The following is a 17,968-nucleotide window of genomic DNA, read 5'->3' on the forward strand; positions in this document are numbered from 1 at the left end:
GAAAGCATATTTTATCTTATGTGTTAGCACAACCTTTTCTCCCGGTGCACTGAGTCTACAGTGGCTATAGAATGTTGCAAGGTCGGGCCGGGTGTAGTGGTTCATGCCTGTAATCCCAGCACTTTGGGAGGCCGAAGCGGGCGGATCACGAGGTCAGGAGATGGAGACCATCCTGGCTAACACGGTGAAACCCCATCTCTACTAAAAAGACAAAAAATTAGCCGGGTGTGGTGGCGGGCGCCTGTAGTCCTAGCTACTTGGGAGGCTAAGGCCGGAGAATGGCGTGAACCTGGAAGGCAGAGCTTGCAGTGAGCCAAGATCGTGCCACTGCACTCCAGTCTGGGTGACAGAGCAAGACTCCATCTCAAAAAAAAAAGAATGTTGCAAAGTCTTTTTTTTTTGATATGGGGTTCTCATTCTCTCATCCAGGTTGGAGTGCAGTGGCACGATCATGATTCACTGCAGCCTCGACCTCCTGGGTTTAAATGATCCTCCTGCCTCAGCCTCCTGAGTAGGTGGGACTACAACCATATGCTGCCACACCTGGCTAATTTAAATTTTTTTTTGTAGAGGTAGGGTCTCACTATGTTGCCCAGGCTGGTCTTGAACTCCTGGCCTCAAGCTATCCTCCCACTTCAGCCTCCCAAAGTGCTGGGATTGTGGGCATGAGTCACTGCACCTGGCCTGCAACACCTTCTAAACATCTTCCCACCAACCAGTCAGCATGTCCCTAAGCCCTACTTTTGAAGTATTTTATTTCACTGTAGTTCTTCACTCTCACAGCATTTGTAGTTCTCAGAGCACTTTCTCATTCACGAACTTTAAACTTATAAGAATCTAATGGGACTAGTTAGCTATCCCTGTTCCCAGTTTACAGATGGAAAACCTATTCCCATTTTACAAATAGAGAACCTCAGTTCAGAGCAGGCAAGTGACTTGTACAAAGTCACACAGCAAGTGGCAGAGTTAGGATTAGGACCTAGGATTGATACTTTGTCTTATGTTCATTCCACTCTACCATGAGCTGCTTTGGGGAAAGGCAGTTTGTCCGGGAGGCCCTGGCTGGGAGGGTCACACATTAGTAATGAGCAATTTTTGAGACTGGCTAGGATCCATTTAGTCAATATATGGAGGGTGTGCAAGGGGCAGTTGAGACCTCTGTCATTCCCAAAGGTGTCAGGCAGGCACAGCATCCATAGGTGGTAGGAGCTGAAGCTAGGCTTTCCCAATTTCATTATTCATTCCCCAGCCAGCAGGGTGGACAGGATTTAGTAGGCAGGCCACCATCCCTCCACTGCCAACCCCGCAGGAAATTTCTCTCTTGTCAGCAGTGCTGACTTGCAGAATGTACACGGCATTATTGAAACATGGTTAACAATGAAAGTGTTGATGGCCACGCTACCAAAAGGGATTCCAAGCTGACGGAGCACATCGTGGTCATTGTGCTAAGGTAAACCAGACTGGCCCCTAAGCTCTCTGAGAAACCAATGACCTGACTGTGTCTACTGGCATCAGATAACCAGGCTGGAGTAGAACCTGGCCTTCCCAAAGACTTTCTAGTTTGTAGCTAATTCATAGCCAAACCTAGAATTGTTTCTACCACAGAGCACCTTCAATATGTAGGCATGTAGCTCTCTTCCTAATACTCAAAAATTAAGCTGTTCTTCCCATATTTTCCTAGGATTTAATCTATCTCCTCTTAAATTTTTAAATTCCTTCTTATTTATAATTGTTAGATTGACCCACACTAAAAGATAAGACTGTAGATGTCTAAGAATCATTAAAAGCAGAGTCTAGTAAAGGTGTTTCTAGATAATAAATGACATAGGGCAGAATCCTCTTGTTTAAAAGATGGAAAATGAGAAGTACTGACTAATGGGAGGAATGTTAAGAATACCGATAGCTCAACCCTTAAAAAAAAAAAAGCCTACATAAAAGGGTGGATAAAATGAAGTCATTCACTTAAGTTGGTCCATGGCATTTTTCATGAAGCAATGATTGGGTTGAGTGATCAAGATTACCATTTCCAGAGCACCTACCATGGCCAATCACAAGCCTTTTACATCTGTTAACCTTATTTATTACAACATCCCTGTGAGAGGGCTGAGATTCCAACTTGTCTTCAGAGTTCCTGTCTTTTCTGTGTCATATCTACCTCCTACTTCCTAATCCTACTTTTCAAAACTTTTGTCATTAACAGGACTACCACTCTGGACCAACATCTGAATAACACAGTATTTAAACTTATCAGATATGACAACCCAATGAGACTGGACATCACATATTTTCATTTCCATCTTAATGTAAGGAAACTGTCATTCTAATCTATTATGTGATTTGTCCATACTACCACAACAAAATAAATGTAGAATGATCTCTAACCATTTGGCTCTAATTGATTCCCGTACACTCTCCTTATCTACCCAGTTTCCTCTAGGGACTCATGTTGATCAACTGACATTGCCAAAGCTAACCAAGAGAAAAGGAAGTCATCACAGTGAAATATTGATATTCATTTCTAGCCAGATTTCCAATTGCTCATTTTCAATCTGCTATGTAAAGACCTTAGCCACTATATACCTTAAGCAACATTCAGCCTAGTTTATTTTTCACAATGGTGCTGTTTTCTGACTTCTTTCTATCTTCTTGCTCCATGGGGACTCCCTAAATGAATCTATCATTTGGATCCCATGGAGAAAAATAGCATATACTTGAAATCCCATCAACTTTCCCAAAGAGCTAACAACCACAGGAGCCAAGAGGACCACAGGCAATGTTCTCCTTCTTTTGATTCTGTGCAGCTATCACATATGTTTTAAATGACCATTTATTTTCAAAAGATCCCAGGCAAAAAAGAACTAACACAAATATAAACATTTGAGGGGATCCTGGCATTCCTTTCAAAATTACTTTTGTCCAAGGGAAGCTTCAGGTTGCTGGGAAATGTCACACTCATAGCTCTTGCTCAACAAGACTGACTTTTACTCACACAACGGGCCTTGGCAAGTCATTTCCCTTTTGGTATACAGAGCTCTTGTTTTCCCCACAAAGGAATTGGCTATGATCGTTTGTGATTCTCAAAGGACTCATGTTCTAAAATAGATTCTGAAATTTTTATTAACAAAACATCTATTTTGCATATCTAGCATTCTGTATCCTTTTCGTATAATGCTTTGCAATGAAGCATCTATCATAAAAACCACTAAACCGTACAGATGGTGTTTATGCAACACAATTTAATGTCCCAGCAAGAACTAGTGATTTGTTACATACATTATGCATCATTGTGATGTATATATCCAGATTTTAAATGTTTGGAGGGCAAATAGTCACCAATATCATTGTGGCACTAGACTACGATTTTTTTTCTTAATACCAGGCCATGGCCAAACATCTAATATAAAATAATTATACAATATGTTTATTAAATAAATAGCATAGTTTGGGTTTTAAATGCCTGTGTTTGTAATGGGTTCAAAGATTTTAAAATACTAAAATTTAGAAAGTTGAAAGAAGTGCTGGAAGAGGAAAAAAGATTTTCCCTCTGCTCCTTGGCCAACCATCAGGCAGTCATTTCATGTGCCTTCCTGTTTCACCTAGGGTTCTTGGTCCCAAGCAACAGAAATAGATTCTGGCTGATAGGAGCAGAAAAAGAATGAAATGAAATTGTATTAGATAGCTCACAGGAGAGATGGAACGTCCAAAGAAGGAAGCTTGGGCAATGGGTACAACCAAAGGTGAACTAATAGCCTGAAGGAATTCTCTAACATGCTCAGTCTCCAAAATTCTTGGCAGGCACACATGCCTGACTGAGCCGAGATTGCCTGCCATACCATGGCTTCAGGGGGATCTGGGGAACAAGTGTCTGATACCTCCCAGCTTCTACCACAGGATGTGGCTCTGCCTCTCACTATGGCTTTTAATATGGGAAATCCCCAAAGATGGGAAGGAGTTCACAAATTGGCCAGCCAGAGGAAAAAAAAATGTGTATATGAACAAGTCTGTTACACTTCCTACCTGGCCAGAAGCATTTTGAATTTCCTCTCTTCTTTGGCTTTTTGTCTTACCTGCTTTGATAATCCGCAACACTGAATAAACACAAGCTTTTTTTATTGTGGGTCTCAGGGCAGTTAAAAATCACTTAGGAAGTACACACTATTGGTCATGAGTCTTTAGTCTATTCCTAGTAAATTCAATTAGTACAAAGGTTCTAAACCCATCCCTAACTCCCACATCACCCTGTAGAAATTTAATTCTGTACAGGTCTTCAGGAGATTCTGATGCAGATTTCTGATTAGGAACCATGTTTTAGTCTTTCTCATCTTTCACAGTTTCTTTACAAACGATTTCTATTTTTCTGAAGCCCCAACCCTACGCCATCAGTCTTAATCAATGACTCTTTGTTCAATTGGGAAAACCAGTCCATCTGATGCAAATTCACTTAACCTCTCTCCTGAGAGTTGAACTCAAACTTTCTTCTTGTCTTTATCCATTTCTTCCTCCTTCCCTACTTCGTTATTCCTTCTTCCCAAGGCTAACTGGCTAATGTGATGCTCATCTGAATGTCCTCTTGACTAATTAGAGACTTTGACTAATATTCACCTTCCTTTTTGACTGTATCTTTGGCCTAATTTCCCTGTTGTCTAATTTGCTTTGACCCCCAAACATCCAAGTCTTGCCTGACCTAAAAACCCTTTCCACTAGACCCTGCTTCCCATGGGCTATGTTCCTGTTCTCCACCTTCATCTTTCACATCTGAAGAGCTGAAAGAAGCAGTTTGTACTCATGGTTGCTTCTCTGATCTCTCGCTCATCCCCATTTTTGTTTGTTTTATTTTCAACATTCACTTGGTAGCAGTCATTCCTCACCTCTTGTAAGTGCTTCCAAGCTCATCTTCTGGACACAAGTCACTCATGGCTTACTGACAGCCCTCCAATGGTCTCTTCTTCATCTGCATCCCCCATGACCTTTCAGAAGCATATGACCCTGTTGAAAACCTCTTTCCTTCTTTGTGGCTTTTGGTGCAAATCCCTTTGAATTTTTCCTTCTACTTCTCGGATGATACTTTATCAGTCTTCTTTGCTGGGCTCTCTCCTCTTCTTGCTCTGTTTTCTCATCCTGGCTGTTCTCATTTCTTTAGCTGTAACCGCAAAGTAGATGACACTTGGATGTGTGTCCCCAACCCCGATTCTTCTATTCAGAGTTCAGATATTTCCAACTGATCACTTCCAAAGGGTGCCCAGGCCCTTTTCCTTCTCCATCTCCCCATTCCATCACTCCTTTTAAAAATTTATTGCGGTTAAAAATACAAAACTTAAAATTTACCATTTCAACCACTTTTAAGCATATGGTTTGATGACAGTAAGTACATTCACACTGTTGTGCTCAATCATACCTTTTAAATATCTGTATAGCTGGGAGTAGAAGGACCATTTCTGGTTCAATTGTTTATTCCTGGGGCCTGCTTCTATCTCCATATCATTGGCCAAGCCTGGTGCTTAATGGTTAAGAGCATGGGCTCTGGTGAGTGTGATCTGAGTTTAAATCCCAGCTCTATAACTGTAGCTGAGTCTTTCAACCTCTCTGGTCTCATTTTCCTCATCTTAGTATTCTCTACAATCACTCTGCTGAAGCAATAACAGCTTTGTTTATTTGTGAGCAAACCCCTTTAAATAACTTGTCCTGCTGGGGCTTGTGCTGGAAATGAAGAAAAAAGGATGCATTTGAAGAAAAGGATGGGCTTAGCCAGAAAGTAGAAGTTTCTGATATATTGGAGTGGGATGTAGAATCTGGCACTGGCTTGGATTTATTAAACAATCAGCTCCACCTACACTTGTTATGAAAAAGATGGGAAAACAATCCATCAGTAAACGATTTTGGTGAGTGCTTCCATCTTTGGTCAGAGGAGTAATTGTTCATCAGTGACAGGTGAACCTCTGTGAAAATTGAAAGGGCAATTTAGTTGAAATGGAAGCATTTATTCAGGAAACAGGTGATCTGGGAAAATTTGATGTGCATTTTTTTTTTTTTTTTTGAGACAGAGTTTCACTCTTGTTGCCCAGGCTGGAGTGCAATGATGTGATCTCGGCTCACTGCAACCTCTGCCTCCCAGGTTCCAGTGATTCTCCTGCCTCGGCTTCCCAAGTAGCTGGGATTACAGGTGCCTGCCACCACGCCCGGCTAATTTTTTGTATTTTTAGTAGAGAAGGGGTTTCACCATGTTGGCCAGGCTGGTCTCGAACTCCTGACCTTAGGTGATCCACCCGCCTTGGCCTCCCAAAGTGCTGGGATTACAGGTGTGAGCCACCGCATCTGGCCTGATGTGTATATCTTTTAACATGCCTTTAAATCCTATGGCTCTAAAGAGGCCATATTAGTTATTTCAGTGTTTATTTCATTTGATGAAGAAACGTTTGCATATGAATGTTGGGAATTCTAGCAGGTCCTGCCTCAATGTGAAGAGGCATTTTTTTTTGCTTTTGGCATTGATCTCCTTTTGGACTGGGCCTGATCCACTTCTTACATCCAGTCCAGGACCTGTCACAAAAGACTCACATTAGTACCACATGGTATCCTGTTTTAGTAAAGAATAGGTGAAATATTTTAGTGAGTAGATCCTACTTTTCCTTTCAGATGCAATGAACAGAAGACCCTGAAAGGATTTCAATCCAGAATGTCACAGGATAATAAGAGCAGATGTCTGTGATGCCCTTTACAAAGCACCTTTACATACTGTCTCTCATTCGTCTCTAATGACACCTATGTGATCCTCCATTTTTTCAGATGAGGAAACTGAGGTTCAGAGTGATTAAGCGAGTTGCCTGAGATTTCACAGCTAACACATTGTGAAATCTAGTCTAGCACCCAGGACTAAAAACTCTCGGCTTCTTTTAAGGCCACATATCGCCTCACCAGAAGGGTGGCCTCTCTGGAGATATACCCTACCCTCGGCCGACTTGATATTGAGAACTTGGTCATCTTAAGCATGTGGGCCACTTGGGCAAGGCAGCCCTTCCCAAATTGTAAATGTCCCCACGTGGAGCTCAAGCGTCTGGCTTGAGCCAGAAGGTGCCCTGAACACTCGGTGGCCCCAGCCCCCACGTAACAGCACGTGCTCGGGTCCCACATTCGGTCAGACGCCCCTCTCCACTGGCATCTGCCCGGTGGAGGCGCCACTGCGCTCTGCCTCCGCCCCAGCAAGCGCGTGTCCACGCGGGCGCGCCACGCCAGCCGTGCGCCCCAGCGGCTCGCCGTGCGCCCGCGCCCCAGGTGCCCACTGGCTCGCGCGCCCTCCGTCTGCGCCTTGGAGACCCGCGGCGGCGATCGCTCGGAGCCGCCTTGGACCGCGGCCTCGGGTCCATCACACTCCAGGGGCGGAGCGAGGCACCGAGACGTCAGGGCGGAGAACTAGCGCCGGGCTAGCGCGCCCTCCCGGCGGCTGCCGGCGTCCCACGTCCTCGGCTGGCGCGGCCGGCGGCGGCGGCGACCGGGAGATGCAGTGAGCGGCGGCGCTGGGGCGCAGCCAGGCGGCCGGGAGGGCGGGGGCCAGAGGCTGAGCCCGGGCGAGCCCGCCGTGCGCACAGCTCTGCCCGCCGCCCCTGGAGCGGATCCCCAGCCGTCCCTGGGCGTTCTCCCGGGTTCTAGCAAAGCCCCCCGGGGTGCCCATCAGTTTCCTTGGGTGACTACAGCGTGTGTTTTTTCTTTCCTCTTTCCCCTGCCTGTGTGCCCTTCTCCAGGATGGCAGAGGCGGAATTGCACAAGGAAAGGCTGCAAGCCATAGCAGTAAGTCCACTTTCATTTTATTTTCTTGCTCTATTGTCTGGGGTGGAAGGGGGCCCCCGAGGGTTTCGGGGCAAGCGGCATGCCAGCACAGTAGCCGCAGGTCATATGTTCCAGGGGCTAAAACTCTGTCAGGGCTCAGCTAGGCTGCCTTTTCTTTTCTATGTCTATAGATGGAGACCCCCAAGGGCGCGCTTTGGACTGAGGATTTGAATGTGGAAGATTGGCTTAAAAAAAGATGCTTGCTGCTGGGCTTTGGGGAAGGACTAAACAGAGGCTTGGGGTGGGGGGACGACTCCAGGAATATTATGACCGAATGCTCAGGCATACGTTGGCTTCATAGCCTGGAGAACCAAGAGAAGGGTGACCTGAACGGTGGCTGCCATCCTCTCTGCGGAAGCTGTCCTCCTGTTAAGTGGAAAACCAGGAGTCAGCGACTCAGCCAGCCACGCGGTAGAACCTCCTCCCAGAAACCGGGAATGTTAGTTTTCCCTTCTCTGTTTGATATTGACAAGGGCACTGGCACAAGCCACCACCCTGGAGGTCTGGGGACTTCATACAACTGGGTCCTGGTTATAATATTCCATGAGAGCCTCCTTCTTATGGTGTGGAGTATCTGAAAACCTATTTTCAGCCTACAAAGGAGTAGTCAGTTTTGGCAAAGTTCGTAGGCACTTTCAGAAAAGTGTACCCATGTGCATCTTGGGTTTAAAAAAGAACTCTCTGAGACTGCCTAGATTTGAGCAATCTTAACACAGTGTTGCCAATGATCCACAGATGTGGTATTTTTACTGGAGCCACCACAGCTGGATTATATATTTCCTTCGAGGATGAGGGAATGATTACTGCTGCCGTATGAAATAGTAACAATTAAAAAAGAAGGTCCGTTAACATATTGGCATAAAAGAATCTCCAGACATTCTTCCACCTAAATACATTTGTGTTTTTCAGTTCGGAAGTTCTCTGGAAACACATATAAATTTGTTGGAGAAATAGTGTGTAATGTTTTGGAACCAAAGTATATTAAAGCGTTTTCCAAAACCTTTTTGGACAGATTCTTCATTGGGAAAATGCACACAGACCCTTCCTTTTTTAGAAGCATTTGACATGGTCTCCAAGGCTCTGAGACCCTCTTTCTCAAACGCCTCAAATCTGAAATGTCTTGGAGACTTCACCACTGAAGTGAGAGAGATGTTTGCTGGCAATATTGAAATGCCATGGTTTGCCTATTAGGTAATCTTTGAACGTGGTGCTCTGAACTCAGAAAGGTTGTTTTTTTCTTCTTTCTCTTTCCCCCTGTGCATGTGTATTTTGATGGTTTGTGAAGTTATTTGTGGTTTCTAAAGTTGGTGGCAAGGCAGCATGGCCAGTGTGTCATGAACTTGATAAGAATGGTGATATTGAGTTAATGGTGCCATGTAGCTGGTGGGTGTTTTGTGTGAACTGGATAATAGGCTGCTTTAACTGTTGATGCAGTGGCTGTTCCCATTGGCTGCTGCTGAAGGCTTCCAACAGTTGTCACATTTTCTGCCTTTGCACAACCAGCTTTACTGGATGCCTGAGGAACAGCTGAACTCCATGAAAGGACTTGCTTTCCAAACATGGAGCCAGTAGCTGCTAACACTGGGGTACCCTTTTCCAAGTGCGGTTGAGTAATCCCAGCAGAGGCCAAGTCGATTTTCCAAGAAAGATCTAGGCAAATCTTTGGGAATTCTCTTGAGCATATAAGAATACACACAAATACTCACTTGTGCCTCTTCAGTTATTGAAGAATTGAGTTTGTCCTGTGTATCTGGGGAGCTGTTGATTATTCTCATGAATGTGCACCTAATACAGTCTGCCCTCCCTATTCATGGGTTCCATATCCACGCCTTCAGTCAATCTTGGATTGAAACTATTGGAAAAAATAATAGATAGCTGAGTCTGTACTGAACATGTACAGACTTTTTCTTGTCACCATTCCCTAAATAATACAGTATAATCAACTGTTTACGTCGCATTTACAGTGTATTAGGTATTATAAATAATCTGAAAATGATTAATGTATGTGGGAGGATGTGAGTAGGTTATATGCAAATACCATGCTATTTTATAGGGACTTGAGCATCCTTTGATTTTGGTATCCAAGGGGGTCCTGAAACCAATTCTCTGAGGATACTGAGGGATGACTGTATGATGTTGTCAGGACAGATTTGCTAACAGCGTGTGTTTGTTTGTGTGTGTGTGTGTGTGTGTGTGTGTGTGTGTATGTGTGTGTGAGAGAGAGAGCCAATTAAGAGACAGAGGGAGTTGGGTGGGGGGACTTATGGCCACATCGGTAAATGGTTTTATGCTATGCTTTGGTCTAGTGCCTACTCTTCTGAATTCTGCAAACCCTGACTCTCTCATCACTTTCCTGGAGTTCTCAGGGGACCCTGAGGAGATCACAAGCCTGCCCCCAGAACCTAGCACTCCTGAAGTCTCTCTGGAGATGTGAGGGAAGAAGACAATAGGTCCTCACATCTTCACTTACTTGGGCTTCTCTCTCAGAGGCAGAGAATCGACTGGGATTCCAGTCTGCAGGGCCTTGGGCAGTCTTTAGTCTGGGTCTCAGCTCCTTCATCTGTAGAATGGGTTCATGAGTTCTACCTCCTGGGCTGGTTGTAAGGTTTAGTTAGGATGGAGGTGAAGCACCTGGCAGGTAGCTGTCATTGGATGGTGTTGAGCAGAGCCCTTAGCTTTTGTCTGTATTGCTGTCTTGTCCTGTGGGGGGTCAGAAGCAACATCTCTGAAGTGGAATGTGTATTAATGACTTTTTTTTTTTTTTAGACAGAGTCTCACTCTGTCACCCAGGCTGGAGTGCTGCCATGACAGCTCGCTGCATCCTGAAACCATCCTCCCACCTCAGCCTCCCCAGTAGCTGGGATTACAGGCATGTGCCACCATGCCCAGCTAATTTTTAAATTTTTTGTAGAGATGGGGTTTCGCCATGTTGCCCAGGCTGGTCTGGAACTCCTGACCTCATGTGATCCTCCCACCTCTGCCTCCCAAAGCACTGAGTTTAGAGACATGAGCCACTATACTTGGTCTGAACAGCTCTTTTTTAATCCCTTCCTTCAACTGACTGAAAGTCAGGGCCCTGCCCAGCATCACTTTCTCTAACTGCTTTAGACAGAGGCAGAGATATGACTTGAGGATTCATTCATCCATTTGTTCAGTAGGTATTTACAGATTGCCTCCTCTGGGAAGGTATTGGCAACACTGAAAAGTTGGTGTCCCCAGGTTTCAGCTGCCTGAGGCTGAAACCTTTATTTCACCTTTTGCACATAATTTCTTGAAGGACAGATGTCCTGATACCTAAGATGCTTGTCACATGAACATCTGTGGAATATCCGCCCCCACCAACAAAACTGAATTAAATACTTAGAAACTACAGTGCTTTAATGGAATCTTCCATTTGGATCCAGGAACTAATCAATGAGAAAAGATGACTCTTATCCTAATTTCTGCCAAAAGAAGAGCAAGTCCATCTTTGACAATGATCTCTACACTCACATGCTCCTTTCTTCTGTAGGGATACTCCCCAAACTTTACATTTAGAACATGGTAAAAAGCCTCTGAAACAGCATGAGTGAGAATGGTAATCCCAGGGACTAATAACAACAATTGCCATTTATTGAATATTGTTCATTCAGAAAGGCACGGTGTGAAATACTTTTTGTTTTTCACCTAACGTTATTTATAGTCTAATGGAAGAAATAGAAAAGCACATAAGCAGTTACTATCCAGGAGTACTATGAAAATGAGCATCCAGGAGGAACATGTAAACCAATCTCAGAGTTGTGAAACAATTCCCCAAAAAGAAGACATTAGAGTAAGTCCTGAAAATTGGGTAAAATAAAATATAAAATAACATCATAACCTTCCCAATTACCAGGAGGCATTTGTTTATTCGTTATTTGATTATTATTTATTCAGGACATTTAGTGTGAGAAAGGGAAAGGCAAAAGCATGAAGAAGTTAAGTCAGTAGCTAAAGACACAAACTCAGAGTGAACACTGAAATGCTTTTCAGCATGTATTATCTCATTGAATCCTAATAAGAAGCTTATGAGGTAGGCACTACAGTATTACTCATATTTTATAGGTGAGGAGGTTCTAGAACTGGTCTAACATTAAACTGATAGTATCAAAGCCAGGATTTGAATGCTGCCCGCAGCAGGCCATTGGAGCCTTTGCTTTGACTGCTGCCCTGAGCTGCCACCCAAGATGGCGGCAGCGTCTCGCACTTTTCCCATGAGCACACTGTGCAGGTGGTCTCAGCAGCCTGAGTGTGAGCCACAGACTGATTCCATTGCAATGGGAAAGCTTGAGACAAGCCAGGAGGCCTACCTCCTTTTGAGAGTCTTTCAAGCCTGGATTCAGTGCATAGAAATACCCAACATAAAATTTAATGGAACGAGTAACATTCCCATGGGGAAGAAGCTGTTGTGTCTCAGTGGAAACTAACCTTGTGGGAGGGTGCTGTTATGTCTGCACATTGGAGAGGAAGATAGTTTTCTTTGGGCATGAGTGAAAATAAGTAAATGTTATATAAATTGTCTTGGGTGAAACTCCTAAGAGCCACGTGGACAAGGCTCAGGCTACACCAGGGACCAGCATGAGTATGTTTATATATGTGCGGAAATAGGAAATGCTAATCTAACCTATGCTGTTCTTTAGGGAATTTTGTCATTTAATTAGAACCCACTCTGTGAAGTAATAAAAATGATCTTTGCATTTGTGCAGTACTTTATAATTTATGAAAACCTTGTATATGCTACCTTCTTCCTGAGGTGTGTAGAGCAAATCTTATACGCTTTACAGGTGAGTATTCAGAGCTATCCAAGCTTACACAGATAGAGGTGGAAGAGTTGTAGTAAATCCCAGCCTCTCCTGACTCCCAATTCTTGTATTAGTCCGTTTTCACCGTGCTGATAAAGACATACCCGAGACTGGGTAATTTATAAGGAAAAAGAGGTTTAATGGACTTATAGTTCCACGTGGCTGGGGAGGCCTCACAATCATGGCAGAAGGTGAAAGGCACATCTCACATGGCAACAGACTGGAAATGAGAGCTTGTGCAGGGAAACTCCCCTTTATAAAACCATCAGATCTCGTGAGACTGATTCACTATCACAAGAACAGCATGGGAAAGACATGTCCCCGTGATTCAATTACCTCCTACCATGTCCCTCCCACAACACGTGGGAATTCAAGATGAGATTTGGGTGGGGACACAGCAAAACCGTATCACTTGTGTTAGTGGTACATCCAGCCTTGGAAGGGTGCTTTGATACGGGCTGAAACTGCAACTAAGATCCTGCTGGACTAAAATCTTCTGGCTGGGAGGAGAGGAGTGAGCTTGGATGTGTCTCTATGGAATATGCCCTTGTTAGGATTTCACTTTCGGCCTCTTTCATTCTTGAAATTCTCACCAAGGGGTCAGCTAGTGAGTTTATGGCTTTCATCTGATTCTATTCTCAGTCCTGCATAGACCTGGGTATACGCTGTTGGCCTAGGCTGGCTGTGCCGTGGGCTTACAGAGAAGTGCTCATTGGCTTTTCGTTGGATTCGCCTCTCCATGCCTTTTCTTGCCTGGGAGCATTACAGCCTTGAGTACCAGGCTTGGAGTGTGGGGCCAGTGGCCAAGGAGGCCACCACCCTGCTTTTGGTCCAGGCCTTTTAGGCCGACCTGCACAGCATGGGCAAAAAGTCCTTGCAATGATTTACATACTATCCAGTCCAGCTTCCCAAGGATCCCTCAGAGGGGTTAGAGACTCAAACCCAAGCCCTGTAGAAACAGGCACTGTGATTCATGTGGGGACCATCCCCATCCATGTTCCTTGTGGACTTGTGTTATTGGTATGCAGCTGTCAGAGAACTGGAGAATTTAAGATCCTGGTCATTCATCTGTTATCTTATATCTCAGAGATGCAGATGACACCCTGCTTCTAAAATTCCATGTTAAGGCCTAAAAAATCATTTGCGTGGTATATTGGTGCTGAGGAAGGGTTCAACTTGGCTGAGTCTGTGAAGCTGCCCACTGGATAGGTGACACTTTGGGCCCATGCAGGGTCATTGCTGTGTCTGGGAGTGCCAAGGCAGGCCTTACCCAGCATGCATAAGGGTCACACACCTCCCTGCTACTTATTTGTACCTCTGAGTATTTCAGTCTTCAGCTTATTGGGACAAAGAGCAGCTACTCTGACAAACTTTAAAATGCTCTGAGAAATAGAGCAGTTATCATGGAAAAAAAAAGTCATCATAGAAAAAGCTAAGTGAGGGGGGTTGTGGGTTATAGTTTGTCAATATTTAAAGGAAAACCAGGGCCCAGTAGAATTGTTTCTATATTTCTTTGGGGGCTACTCAATGCTTTGGGGTCACTGCTGGCCCCTTTGAACTCTCCACATTTCACCACTGATCCCATTTGGGAATGTTGATGAACTTGCTTGGCAGTAAGAGTTGGTCATTCTGTGGCATGAAATTGACTGAGACAGCAGATGGACATTGATGCACAGAGACGGTGGTCCCAAGGGCTGTCATTGTGGTGGGGTAGTTACCAGCATGGATTTTGGTGTCAGGAAGACCTGGCGCAAGTCCTGGCCTTTCCGTTGGTATCTGTATGATGTCACTGTACCTTGGTTTCCTCACCTGTAAGATGGGGCTAATGATCATACCCACTTCAGTGTCTTGTTGTGATGGTTCTTTTAGAGGTTTCTTGGGAAATGCTCAGAGACAGCATGCATTAAGCACTCACAAACTTTCCTATTTATAATAAGCAAACCAACAAATCATAACTTATGCATCTTTAAACAGAAAGTGAACACAAAGAGTGAAAGGAGAATTTTGTTAGCCACAGCATTTTTGTCAAACTAGGAAATTAGATAAATACTAGGAAATCAGATAAATGTTGTAACTCCTGAGTTTTCAATGCATGAAGATAGTATTAATAATAAAAAATGGATTATTTGTAGTAAGCAGGAGTAGTAAACTCAACAGGTCAGGGGGCCAGCATGCAATGTAAATGAGGGACACAGATTGAGTCGAAAGTATTGGTCCCTAGAGAGCAGATGCCACCTCTCAGTTAAGATGCAGTTAATTTATGCCTTGTGAGAACGTGGGTCTTATGTTGTTACATCAACTCATTTTCAAGAGAAGCCAGAAATCTGATTTTTAACATGTGAGATCTCCCACTTAAAAAAGAACAGTATTAACTAGTTTAAAAACTTTAAAAAGATTGGCAGTCACAACACAATTCCTTTTGATCAAGAGGCCGACATTTTGTGACCTTTAGATATAGACAGAGCTTTGAACTTTACAGGATGCTTTCCTTATGCATTGATTTATTTGGATTTCATAAGGATACTGTGAAGTAAGCCTATCAGCACCCCTGAGATATTTCATAATGTTGTAATATCGGGTTGCATTTTCACCAGAGCTTTGTGAGTTTGGTGTCCAGATGTTTGGATCATTGGATAAATGGTGCTTATTTGCGATATCTTTTGACATTAAATGAGCCCTTGCAAATCACTGACATTATTGAAACTCAGAATACTCACATCTAGATAGGTAATTGCTCTCTAACTCAACCAAAACAAATCTAAACCACATCAAGTCAGCACCTTAATTTGGGAAATTCCTCTTATTAGAAAAGAATCTTTAAGAACCTATACTCAAGGTATGCAAATCTGAAATGCAAACCTGATATGAAGCCCAAGCCTAACTCATGTCAGTCAGGATGTTTGAGTTGATCCTGATTTATTATTAGCCTCAAGTAATGGACATTGTAGGGAGATTCTGCTGGGCTCAGGACTCATAGTAGCAGCAACTGCCATTTGACCGATGTTTTTGTCATATATGGTATAGAACAGTAATTCTCAAACGTTAGTGCATTAGGATCACCTGGAGGGTTCCTTAAAACACAGATTGCAAGAGCACACTCCCAGAGTGTCTAATTCTGTAGGTCTAGGGTGATGTGGCCTGAGAATTTGTATTTCTAAGAAGTTCCCAGCTGCAACTGCTATTCTGGGGAACACACTTTGAAAACGACTGGTGAAGTGTAGGAGATCAATAGTAAAGGAAGATTATGACCTGGGTCCTGATGTGCATCACATGCCCATTGTGATATGCCCAGGAGTTTGTGTGGTGTGTATATTCTGAAGAGGTGAAATAGAATAAAAGGCCAAATTTAGTCTTGATTAATGAGAGCCTTAAACATAGCCCAGTTTGGAAGTCATGCAAGCCGGGTGCGGTGGCGCACTCCCATAGTCCCAGCTACTTGGGAGGCTGAGGTGGGAAGATCGCTTAAGCCCAGGAGTTCAAGGCTGCAGTGAGCTATGATCACTGCCACTGCACTCCAGACTGGGCAAGAGTGACACCCTGTGTAACTGTGTCCTTCTCACATTACACTGGCTAATCAAGAAGAGGTCTTTGCTTATCTCGGGAACTTGCTTTAATCTATTTAAATAAAGTGAGATATCTGTTGGTTACTTGACAACACCGGTTTGGAAGGTTTGCCCAGGATTGGCTGGGCAGGTTGAGAGAGTTTGCCTGGGATTGACTGACTGAAACTATGGGCTACAAAATTCCCTTGGGGAGGCCTTAGAGGACACCTCAGTGAGATAAGAAGTCATGCAGTAGAGAAGATATCCAGCAACACCATGACAGCCCCATTGAGAGAGGCTTGCCATACATATGATGGTGTATAGATGAAGACATCAAATAGCAGATCAGCCCATCAAGCCTGGTGGCCCCTTCTCCAGCCTGCAGGTGCTAATTCGCGATGTGATTGCTTCTCACGTGGGCAACTCCAATAGGATGCCAGGAGAAGCAGCAACTGATGTTCATTTACTTAATGATGGTTAATATTTTATGAAGCCAGTCTGTGTATATGCAAGTATGACTTGTTATTGGCATATCAAGGACAAGTTTATTCTTCCAAGGATGTCATGCAGGCTTCCCTCACTTGTCTTTGTACCATGCATTTTTTGAGCTAACCCTTCATTTTTGGAAGGATTCTGCCTCACCGGATCTCTTGTATATCTTAAAACACAAAGCACAGAGGCTGCACTGTACAGGATGAGGCCTAAGAGAACGTGGAGACTGTAGGGGATGGGCCACACAGCATGGCGGAGTTTGTAGAGGAAAGGTTGCTCATAAGTGCTCTGGGTTTGGGAGAAGACCACACAGCTGAGATCTATTTCTGACAGGAAATGCCGGCAGGAGCAGAGGGTGGTGTGGGGCAGTGCGTGTTGGAGCTACAGTGCCCTTGGTTAATTATTATCTCAGTATTTCTCATTAGTCTCTTGTTGAATTAAAATGCTCAAAAGGAGATTATTAAATACACACAGAAAGGGAGACAGACTGACAGACACAGAGACAAGACTACACCCTATTTACATAATGCTTGAACATATATTAAAAATACTTTGGATTACTCTTTGACCCTAGTATCACTGTTTCTATAGGATCATATAAGTTTAGCTAGAAGAAAAGAATAGAGAATCTGTACCTTTCTTTTGCATAAGATCGAAGGGGAAAGAAAAGCCATGTGAGGCCCAAGATAAAAGCCCCAGCTGTAGATGAAAAAGCTGTGGGCCAGACGTCGGAACACATCTTCCTGTCCATCATTTCCCTTGTGGAAGCCTATTTCATTACCCTGCAGGCTTTTAGGCTCTAGACAGCTTTGCAATACCAAATATCTTGAAGGCATTTGTAAAACCTACTCTTACTTTTTTCCTGGAAAAAAAAAATTATACTGGTTTACTTACTATTCTAGGTGGGTGGGATTTTTCCCCCCTCTGCTAAATTATAACCAGTCATCTAAGTATTCACTTTATTTTTAAATTCAGGGCTGAAACTTAAAACCTTGAGGGTTACCAAAAAATGTTATTCTTAAGAGAAAAACATGCTTGAAAACTTAACCCCTTTGGTGGCAGGCAGGGGATTTTCTTTGTCTGTGTTTGAGTGCTAATGTCGACAACTTTGAGGCCAATAAATACCAAATGGGGCTCTAGGATTTGGGCAACTGTGATAGTGTGTGTGTCCTGCATGTCACATGAGAAAGAGAGAGGCCGGGATTTAAGAAAGGTGCCTCTTGGCTGGGTGGCATGAACTCAGTCAGCTGGCTTTCCCCAGGCACCTGATTGGCCTTAAACACTGAGTTTTTG

The 17,968-nt window shown here is 43.8% G+C and overlaps 1 protein-coding gene across 14 annotated transcripts in view; it reads left to right on the forward strand.

Moving 5' to 3' along the window:
• The window catches only part of PALM2AKAP2 (PALM2 and AKAP2 fusion), a 531,726-nt gene that overhangs the window by 131,965 nt on the left and 381,793 nt on the right, over positions 1–17,968 (forward strand). For 13 of the 14 annotated variants that reach the window (XM_047423410.1, XM_047423411.1, XM_047423414.1 and 10 more), the window contains exon 1: positions 7,447–7,782. In XM_047423410.1, the coding sequence (XP_047279366.1) occupies positions 7,738–7,782 (45 nt within the window). In that variant the 5' untranslated portion in view covers positions 7,447–7,737. Of the gene's footprint in view, positions 1–7,446; positions 7,783–17,968 lie in introns of those variants that run through there. The other variant, NM_001037293.3, reaches the window with a different exon arrangement.

The sequence above is a fragment of the Homo sapiens genome, chromosome 9 (assembly GCF_000001405.40).
Source record: "Homo sapiens chromosome 9, GRCh38.p14 Primary Assembly".
Classification (NCBI taxonomy): domain Eukaryota; kingdom Metazoa; phylum Chordata; class Mammalia; order Primates; family Hominidae; genus Homo; species Homo sapiens.